Raw genomic sequence first — 11,429 nt, 5'->3', positions numbered from 1 at the left:
GTCTGGGCGCAGTGGCTTACGCCTGTAATCCCAGCACGTTGGGAGGCCGAGGCAGGCAGATCACCTGAGGTCAGGAATTCAAGAACAGCCTGGACAACATGGCGAAACCCCATCTTGACAAAAATACAAAAATTAGCCGGGCATGATGGTGAATGCCTGTAATCCCAGGTATTCAGGAGGCTGAGGCAGGAGAATCACTTAAACCCAGGAGGTGGAGGTTGCAGTGAGCCGAGATTGTGCCATTGCACTCCAACTTGGGCGATAGAGCAAGACTTAGTCTCAAAAAAAAAAAAAAACCCACTTCAAAATGATATACAGATTCAATGCAATCCATATCAAAATCCCAATGCAATTTTTGGCAGAAATAGAAAACGCACCCTCAAATTCATGTGGAATCGGCCAGGCACTGTGGCTCATGCCTGCAATCCCAGCACTTTGGGAGGCCTAGGCGGGCGGATCACGAGGTCAGGAGTTTGAGATCAGCCTGACCAACATGGCCGGACCAACATTACCCTGTCTGTAATAAAAATACAAAAAAAAAAAATTTAGCCAGGCGTGGTGACCCGTGCCTGTTATCCCAGCTACTTGGGAGGCTGTGGCAGGAGAATCGCTTGAACACGGGAGGCAGAGTTGCAGTGAGCTGAGATCACACCACTGCACTCCAGCATGGGCAACAGAGTGAGACTCAGTCTCAAAAAAAAAAAAAAATCATGTAGAATCTGAAGGGACTTCAATTATCTAAAACAGTCTTTAAAAAGAAGAAAAAAAAGTTGGAGGACTTACACTTCCAGATTTGAAAACTTACTACAAAAGCTACAGTAATCAAAAGAGTGTGATACTGGCATAAAGACACACATATGGACCAATGGAATAGACTAGAGAGCCCAGAAATAAATCCTCACATATATGGTCAATTGATCTTTTTTAGTTTTTATATTTTAAATTATAAATTGACAAGTTATAGTTGTAAATATTTATGGGGTACAAAGTGATGCTATGACTCATGAATACAAGCAGAATAATTAAATCAGGCTAATGAACACATTCAGCACCTCAGATACTCACCATTTTTGTGGTAAGAACATTTGAAATTTACTCTCTTAGTGATTTTTGTTTTGTTTCATTTTGTTTTATTATGTTTTGTAGAGACGTAATCTCTCTATGTTGCCCAGGCTGGTCTCAAACCTCAAACTCCTGGCCTAAAGCGATCCTCCTCCCACTTCAGCCTTCCAAAGTGTTGAGATTACAGGTGTGAGCCAGCACACTTGGCTTCTCTTAGCAATTTTGAAATGTGCAATGCATTATTATTTACTATATTCACTACACTGTGCAATATATCTCAAATTTTTTTTTTTTTTTTTTGAGATAGAGTTTTGCTCTTGTTGCCCAGGCTGGAGTGCAGTGGCGTGATCTCAGCTCACTGCAACCTCCGCCTCCCGGGTTCAAGCGATTCTCCTGCCTCAGCCTCCTGAATAGCTGGGATTGCAGGCGCATGCCACCATGCCCGGCTAATTTTTGTATTTTTAGTAGAGACGGGGTTTCGCCATGTTGGCCAGGCTGGTCTGGAACTCCTAACCTCAGGTGATCCACCTGCCTCAGCCTCCCGAAGGGCTGGGATTACAGGCGTAAGTCACCGCACCCATCCTTATATCTCAAATTTACAAGAAAGGTATCCCTCCTAATTGAGGCTTTGTACCCTTTGACCATCATCTCCCCATTTCCTCCACCCCTCAGCCTCTGTTAAACACCATTCTATTTTCTGCTTCTTTGAGTTTAATTGTTTTAGATTCCACGTATGAGTAGAGAACAGTATTTGCAGCACTATTCACAATAGCCCTGTTATGGAATCACCCTAAGTGTCCATCAACAGATGACTGAATAAAGAAAATGTGGTATATATATGCAACTGAATACTATTCATCCATAAAAAACAAGGAAATTTTGTCATTTGTGATAACATAGATGGAACTGGAGAACATGAGGCCAAGTGAAATAAGCCAGGCATGGAAAGGCAAACACTACGTATTCTCAATTGATTTTGACAAGGGGGTACCAACAATATTCAATGGGGAAAAAGAGAGTCTCTTCAACAAATGGTGCAGAGAAAACTGTATATCGAGATGCTACAGAATGCAGTTGAACCCTTACTTTACCTTACACTTTTTTTTTTTTTTTTTTTTTGAGACAGAGTCTTGCTCTGTTGCCCAGACTGGAGTGCAGTGACACCATCTCGGCTCACTACAACCTCCGCCTCCTGGGTTCAGGCGATTCTCCTGCCTCAGCCATCCAAGTAGCTGGGATTACAGGTATGTGCCACCATGCCCGGCTAATTTTTGTTTTTTTGTTTGTTTGGTGACCAGCCTGGCCAACATGGAGTAACCCTGTCTCTACTAAAAATACAAAAATTAGCCGGGCGTGGTGGCGAGCACCTGTAGTCCCAGCTACTCAGGAGGCTGAGGCAGGCAAATCGCTTGAACCCAGGAGGCGGAGGTTGCAGTGAACCTAGATCACGCCACTGCACTCCAGCCTGGGCAACAGAATAAGACTCTGACTCAAAAAAAAAAAAAAAAGAAAGAAAGAAAAGAAATGACTCACAGCTCGACTTAAAAAATCAGGGCTTAGGCTGGGTGTAGTGGCTCACGCCTGTAATCCCAGCAGTTTGGGAGGCTGAGGTGGGTGGATCACAAGGTCAGGAGTTCAAGACTAGCCTGGCCAAGATGGTGAAACCTCATCTCTACTAAAAATACAAAAAATTAGCTGGGCATGGTGGCAGGCGCCTGTAATGTCAGCTACTCGGGAGGTTGTGGCAGAGAACTGCTTGAACCCAGGAGGTGGAGGTTGCAGTGAGCCGAGATCACGCCACTGCACTCCAGCCTGGGAGACAGAGAGAGGCTCTGTCTCAAAAAAAAAAAAAAAAATCAGGGCTTAGAACAGTGTATATATTATTCTATTATTTGTGTAAAAAATAGCATTCATATATGTGCTTATATTTGGATCAATTGATCTCTGGTAGGAGATATAAAAATGAACAGGAATTGCCTGTCAGCAAGGAAATTTGGGAACAGGGGAACAGAGATGGACAACTCTTCACATACCTTTTTCTACTATTTGAATTATTTACTTTGTTCTTATAGTATCTTAAAAATATGTTCTCAGCCAGGCGCTGTGGCTCATGCCTATAATCCCACCACTTTGGGAGGCCAAGGCAGTAGGACTGCTTGAGCCTAGGAGTTCGAGACCAGCCTAGGCAACATAGGGAGACTCCATCTCTACAAACAATAAGAATAAATTAGTTGAGTGTGGTGGTGTCTGCTGGTAGTCCCATCTACTTGGGAGGCTGAGGTGAGAGGATCACTTGAGTCCAGGAGGTCAAAGCTGCAGTGAGCCATGATTGCCCCGCTGCACTGGATGACAGAGCAAGACCCTGTTTCAAAAAAAAAAAAAAAACCAACCAAACAAAAAAATTCTCAATAGGCTAGAAACTGTAGAAATTCACAACTTGATAAAGAGTTATCTATGAGAAAACAATTTCAATCATCATACTCAATAGTGAAATATGGCCAGGCGCGGTTGCTCACGCCTGTAATCCCAGCACTTTGGGAGGCCGAGGCGGGCAGATCATGAGGTCAGGAGATCTAGACCATCCTGGCTAACATGGTGAAACCCCATCTCTACTAAAAATACAAAAAAAAATTAGCCAGGCATGGTGGCGGGTGCCTGTGGTCCCAGCTACTCGGGAGGCTGAGGCAGGAAAATGGCGTAAACCCGGGAGGCGGAGCTTGCAGTGAGCCAAGATTGCGCCACTGCACTCCAGCCTGGGCAACTGAGCGAGACTCCATCTCAAAACAAACAAACAAAAATAGTGAAATACTAGTGTCATCCTTCAAAGTCAGAACAAGACAAGAATATTCACCTGTCTTACAAATATTAGTAAGTATTGCTCTGCAGATTCTAGTGAAAACATTAAGACAAAAGAAGATAAAAGTTATAGCTGGGCACAGTGACTCACGCTTGTAATCCCAGCACTTTAGGAGGGTGCGGTGGGTGGATCACTTGAGCTCAGGATTTCGAGACCAGCCTGGGCAACATGGCAAAAACCCATTTCTTAAAAAAACAAAAAAAAATTAAAAAAAGAAGATAAACGTTAGAAATATTGTAAAGAGAGGCTGGGTGTGGTGGCTCACGCCTGTAATCCCAACACTTTGGGAGGCCAAAGCGGGTGGATCATGAGGTGAGGAGATGGAGACCATCCTGGCTAACACGGTGAAACCCCGTGTCTACTAAAAGAATACAAAAAAATTAGCTGGGTGCGGTGGTGGGCGCCTGTGGTCCCAGCTACTCGGGAGGCTGAGGCAGGAGAATGGCGTGAACCCGGGAGGCGGAGCTTGCAGTGAGCCAAGATTGCGCCACTGCACTCCATCCTGGGTGACAGAGCGAGACTCCATCTCAAAAAAAAAAAAAAAAAAGAAATATTGTAAAGAGAGTTATATGTCCCTGTTTATATATGATACATAAACACTCTAAGAGAATCAAGAGATCCTATTAGAATTAAACAGAAAAAAGTTTGATAAGTTTTAAATCAGTAACTTCCCTATTTATTTCTTTTCTCTTTTTATCCTTTTAAAATTTTTTACCTGCTCCCACATTATGGGAATAACTTCCCCTATTTAAAAACAACATTCAGTTAGAAAATATGAGAGGCCAGGCGTGGTAGCTTACATTTTAATGCCAGCAATTTGAGAGGCTGAGGTAGAAGGATCATTAGAGACCAGGAGTTCAAGACCAGCCTGGTCAAAATAGTGAGATCCCATCTCTTAAGAAAAAAAAAAAAAAGGCACGGCGCGGTGGCTCATGCCTGTAATCCCAGCACTTTGGGAGGCCGAGGGGGGCAGATCACAAGGTCAGGAGATCTAGATCATCCTGGCTAACACGGTGAAACCCCGTCTCTACTAAAAATACAAAAAAAATTAGCCAGGCATGGTGGCGGGCGCCTGTGGTCCCAGCTACTTGGGAGGCTGAGGCAGGAGAATGGCGTGAAACCAGGAGGCGGAGCTTGCAGTGAGCCAAGATTGCGCCACTGCACTCCAGCCTGAGCGACAGAGTGAGACTCTGTCTCAAAAAAAAAAAAATCCCATATGCCATTCCAGTGATGGAAAAAAAATGATAGGGGAATAAACCTAACAAGAAATATACAAAACATTTATATGAGTAAAATGACAAAATTTTACTGAAGGCTATAAGTATGAAGACTTTTTTTTTTTTTTTGAGATGGAGTTGTGCTCTTGTTGCCCAGGCTGGAGTGCAATGGCGCGACCTCAGCTCACTGCAACATCCTCCTCTAGGGTTCAAGGGATTCTCCTGCCTCAGCCTCCCGAGTAGCTGGGATTACAGGCGCCTGCCACCATGCCCGGCTAATTTTTTGCATTTTTAGTAGAGCCAGGGTTTCACCATTTTGGTCAGGCTGGTCTCGAACTCCTGACCTCAGGTGATCCACCCGCCTTGGCCTCCCAAAGTGCTGAGATTACAGGCGTGAGCCACCGCACCCGGCCTTATTATTATTTTTTTGAGACAGGGTCTCGCTATCACCCAAGCTGGAGTGCAGTGGCACCATCATAGCTCACCATATCCTTGAACTCCTGAGCTCAAGCAATCTTTCTGCTTCAGTCTCCTGGGAAGCCATGACTACAGGCATGTGCCACCATACCCGGCTAATTTTTTTTTTTTCTTTTTTTTTTGAGACGGAGTCTCGCTCTGTCGCCCAGGCTGGAGTGCAGTGGCGTGATCTCGGCTCACTACTGCTAATAGTGACTTTCTCTGAAGAATAAATTGGAGGGTTCAAGTCTTTTACTTTCCATTGTATTCACTTCTGCAAGTTTGTTGCTTTTTAGAGATGATGGAAGCTCATATCAGAATGTTGAATATTTAAGTGTCACAATGACACAGGTGATATTCAAACCTATCTTCAGTGCGGACTTTTCTCATGAACTCCTATGCTGCATTTACAATTAACTGCCTGCTAGCATGTCCACTGACATGTTTTGCCATTACTTCAAACTCATACCTAAAATAAAATTAATTATCAGAATAATATTCAAATAATATTAGTTCCAGTTCATGGTTTTCCTATTTTTGTTAAAAGCACTAGCTTTCCAGTTGTTACTTAAGCTTGAAGCCTTGGAGTCATCTTATACCCTTCCCTCCTCATCAGAAAAAAAAAAATTAAGTTCAGGGTTTTCTTCTTCTTTTTAATAATATTTTACATGTCTCTCTCCTATTTTTTGTTTGTTTGTTTGTTGGTGTTTGTTTGTTTTTTTTTTTCAGACAAAGTCTTGCTCTGTCACCCAAGCTGGAGTACAGTGGCACGATCTCGGCTCACTGCAACCTCCACCTGCTGAGTTCAAGTGATTCTCTTGCCTCAGCCTCCCGAGTAGCTGAAACTACAGGCACTCACCACCACGTCCAGCTAATTTTTTGTATTTTTAGTACAGATGGGGATTCCCCATGTTGGCCAGGCTGGTCTCAAACTCCTGAGCTCAGGCAATCCACCTGACTCGGCCTCCCGAAGTGCTGAGATTACAGGTGTGAGCCACTGCACCCAGCCTCTCTCCTATCTGTTCTTTGCCATTCCAGTTTAGGTCCTGCATTCAACAAATATTTATTAATCACACATGCTAGGCAATTTTAGTTGCTGGGAAGAGTGCACTAAGATAGACTTATATTCTAGTGAAAGAGAAACAATGTACATGTAAACAAGTAATTATGCAATACAATTGCTAACATATGTTTACCCTGTACCAGGCACTGGGCTAGGGGCTTTGGATGTGTTAACTCATTTAATACTCCTAATGACTCCATGATATAAGCACTGTTATCATCCCCATTTTACAATTGGGGAAACTGAAGCATAGAGCTCTTAAGTAGTTGAAGATCATATAGCTAGTAAGTAGAGAGACAAAATTTAAATCCAGGCATCCTGCTGCTATAGTTTGCCCTTTCAACAATCATGTTCTATTGCTTCTCATGTAAGGAAACTTCAGTCAATAAGGGCTATGGAAAAAATCAAACAGGGTAATGTGATAGTCACTGAGACAGTAGGTGCTAATTTAGAGAATCTTATAAGTAAAATATTTATTCAGAAACAGAATGCTTATTCCTCGGTACTGCAAGGAAAAATCAGCATTCAGACAAAAAGTTTTCGCAGCAAGGCAATTTTACTTTCTACAGAAAGGGTGCTCCTCACAGATGGAACAATGCAGAAATTTTACTTTCTGCAGAAAGTAAAATTGCCTTGCTGAGAAAACTTTTTGTCTGAATGCTAATTTTTCCTTGTGGTACCGAGGAACAAGCATTCTGTTTCTGAATAAACATTTTACTTATAACAAGAAGATGGTCAAAAAAGGCATTTCTGAGAGGTTTTATTTATTATTATTACATATTTTTTTGAGACGGAGTTTCACTCTTGTTGCCCAGGCTGGAGTGCAATGACACAGTCTTGGTTGACTGCAACCTCCACCTCTGTGGTTCAAGAGATTATCCTGCCTCAGCCTCCTGAGTAGCTGGGATTACAGGCATGCACCACCATGCCTGGCTCATTTTGTATTTTTAGTAGAGACGGGGTTTCTCCATGTTGGTCAGGCTGGTCTCGAAATTCCAACCTCAGGTGATCTGCCCACCTTGGCCTCCCAAAGTGCTGGGATTACAGGCGTGAGCCATCACGCCCAGCCCTATTTATTTACAGACAGGTTCTCACTCTGTTGCCCAGACTGTAGTGCAGTGGTGCCATCTTGGCTCCCTACAGCTTCCATGCCCTGGGCTCAAGTGATCCTCCTGCCTCAGCCCCCTGAGTAGCTGGGACTACAGGTGCACACTATCATACCTGGCTAATTTTTGTATTTTTTTGTAGAGACAAGTTTTTGCCATGTTCCTCAGGCTGGTCTCAAACTCCTGGACTCAAGGGATCCTCCTGCCTCAGCCTCATAAAGTGTTGAAATTACAGGTGTGTGCTACCACACCTGGCCTTTTTTTTTTTTTTAATTTTAAAAAATAATGGCCAGAGGCGGTGGCTCACGTCTGTAATCCCAGCACTTTGGGAGGCCGAGGTAGGTGGATCACCTGAAGTCAAGAGTTCAAGACCAGCCTGGCCAACATGGTGAAACCCCATCTCTACTAAAAATACAAAAAATTAGCTGGGCATGGTGGCGGGCGCCTGTAATCCCAGCTACTCAGGAGGTTGAGGCAGGAGAATCACTTGAACCCAGGAGGCAGAGGTTGCAGTGAGCCAAGATCAGGCCACTGCACTCCAGCCTGGACAACAAGAGCGAAACTCCATCTCAAAAAAAAAAAAATCATTTTAGGCTGGGCATGGTGGCTCATGCCTGTAATCCCAGCACTTTGGGAGGCCAAGGTGGGCAGATCACTTGAGGTCAGGAGTTCAACACCAGCCTGGCCAACATGGTGAAACCCCATCTCTACTAAAAATACAAAAATTAGCCAGGCATGGTGGCACATGCCTGTAGTCCCAGGTACTTGGGAGGCTGAGGCAGAATTGCTTGAACCCGGGAGGCGGAGGTTGCAGTGAGCTGAGATCGCACCACTGAACTCCAGCCTGGGCGACAGAGCGATAATCCATCTCAAAACAAAACAAAACAAAACAAAACAAAACAAAAAGTTGTTAATGCTCACTACCTATATCTATTTGTTGAGAATTAAAAATTGTTATATTCTATTATTTTTCTTTTTATTCATTGGAATAGTTGTGTAACAACATGTCCTCTCATCTACTATTTTGTTACCCAGTTCACCTAGGAAAGGCAGGATAAATGTTTGATTTTTTTTCCCCTTCATTGACCAGTTTTCAAGATAATTAATCAGTTCCCATCATGAGAGATGATGTTTGAGCTAAGACCTGAATGAAGAGCCAGCTATTCAAATATCTGGAGGAAGAGGCCAGGGGTGGTGGCTCGTGCCTGTAATCCTAGCACTTTGGGAGGTGGGCAGATCGCTTGAGCTCAGGAGTTTGAGACCAGCCTGGGCAATGTGGCGAAACTCTGTCTCTACAAAAAATACAAAAATTAGCTGGGCATGGTGGTGCATGCCTATAGTCTCAGCTGCTTGGAGAGCTGAGGCGGGAGGATCGCTTGAACCTGGCAGTTTGAGACTGCAGTGAGCTGTGATCACACCACAGCACTCCAGCCGGGGCAACACAGTGAGACCCTGTCTCAAAAAAAAAAAAAAAAAAAACAGGCGCAGTGGCTCACGCCTGTAATCGCCTGTAATTCTAGCACCTTGGGAGCCTGAGGTGGGTGGATCATTTGAGGTTAGGCGCTCGAGACCTGCCTGGACAATATGGTGAAACCCTGTCTCTACTAAAAATACAAAAATTAGCTGGGTGTGGTGGCAGGCACCTGTAATCCCAGCTACTTGGGAGGATGAGGCAGGAGAATCACTTGAACCAGGGAGGTGGAGGTTGCAGTGAGCTGGGATTGTACCACTGCACTCCAGCCTGGGGGACAGAGCAAAACTCCTTCTCAAAAAAAAAAGATCTGGAGTAAGAGAATTCCAGCTGGAAGGCCGGGCACGGTGGCTCATGCCTATAATCCCAGCACTTTGGGAGGCCGAGGCGGGCAGATCACCTGAGATCAAGATTTCGAGACCAGCCTGACCAACATGGAGAAACTCTGTTTCTACTAAAAATACAAAATTAGTCGGGCATGGTGGTGCTTGCCTGTAATCCCAGCTACTCAGGAGGCTGAGACAGGAGAGTAGCTTGAACCCAGGAGGTGGAGGTTGCAGTGAGCCAAGATCGCACCATTGCACTCTAGCCTGGGCAACAAGAGCAAAACTCCATCTCAAAAAAAAAAATAGAGAATTCCAGCTGGGCGCAGTGGCTCACGACTGTAATCCCAACACTGAGAGGCTGAGGTAGGCAAATTGCTTGAGCCCAGGAGTTCCAAGACCAGCTTGGCCAACATGGCGAAACCATGTCTCTACAAAAAAATTAGCTGGGCATGGTGGCGTGCATCTGTGGTCTCAGCTACTTGGGAGGCTGAGGTGGGAGGATCACCTGTGTCCGGGAGGTGGAGGCTACAGTGAGCTAAGATCACCACTGCACTCCAGCCAGGGTAACAGAGCGCGAACCTGTCAAAAAAACAAAAAAAGAGAGAGAGAGAGAATTCCAGGCAGGAGTATCAGATAGTGCAGACGAACTGAGGAAGGAGTGAGCTGTATACGTTCAGGGAATACAGAAGACCAGCATGGCCACATTACTTTCACTCCTACCTTTGGAACTATCTCTTAAATCCATTACCCCCTGTTCCATTTTTCCTACCATACCGTTAATCTGGAGTCTCATCTTTCTCCCTTGGACCACTGCAATTACCTTCAACTCATTTCAGTGCCTCCAAGCTTCTCTCTCACCCTACCCAGTTAACCCCTTGGTCACTGAAAGCTTTTAACTCTGTATAGTTTCTTTGGTGAGAATGCATTTATAATTTTACAACAGATGTCACTGGCAAAATAAGATTCATTTAATAGAGGGGAGTGTTTGCTGAAAAAGTATTGCTGGACATCAAAGAATATAGGCTTTGAATTTCATGACATGCAGTAAAAAAAAAAAAAAAGAATATGGGTTTTGTAGTCAGACCTGGATTTAAGTCCCTGCTCTGACACTTGCCAGCTGTGTGACCTAAGGAAAATCATATAACATCCCAGGGATTGTTTCCTCATCTATTAAAAAAAATAGTAATAGGCCAGGCGTGGTGGCTCACGCCTGTAATCCCAGCACTTTGGGAGACTGAGGTAGGTGGATCACCTGAGGTCAGGAGTTCAAGACCAGCCTGGCCAACATGGGGAAACCCCATCTCTACTAAAAAATACAAAAATTAGCCAGTCATGGTGGCACATGCCTGTAGTTCCAGCTATTCGGGAGGCTGAGGCAGGAGAATTGCTTGAGCCCGGGAGTAGAGACTGCAGTGAGCTGATGTCATGCTACCACAATCCTGCCTGGGAGACAGAGCGAGACTCCCAGGCTATCCCGAGATATCTTACATTGATATAAGCCTTTTCCAAATAACTTTTATTTATTTATTTATTTATTGAGACGGAGTCTCACTCTGTTGCCCAGGCTGGAGTGCAGTGGTGCAATGATCGTGGCTCACTGCAACCTCCACGTCCTGGGTTCAAGTGATTCTCCTGCCTCAGCCTCCCGAGTAGCTGGAACCACAGGTGCATGCCACCACGTCTGGCTAATTTTTGTATTTTTAGTAGAGACGAGGTTTTGCCATGTTGGCCAGGCTGTTTTTGAACTCCTGACCTCAGGTGATCTGCCTGCTTCAGCCTCCCAAAGTGCTGGGATTATAGGTGTGAACCACCACACTGGGCCCCAAATAACTTTTGCATCTCTGATCACCTGCTCTCTAACCTCACTGAGA

Source organism: Homo sapiens, chromosome X (assembly GCF_000001405.40).
Source record: "Homo sapiens chromosome X, GRCh38.p14 Primary Assembly".
NCBI classification, from domain to species: domain Eukaryota; kingdom Metazoa; phylum Chordata; class Mammalia; order Primates; family Hominidae; genus Homo; species Homo sapiens.
Note: the sequence above shows the minus strand (reverse complement) of the source record.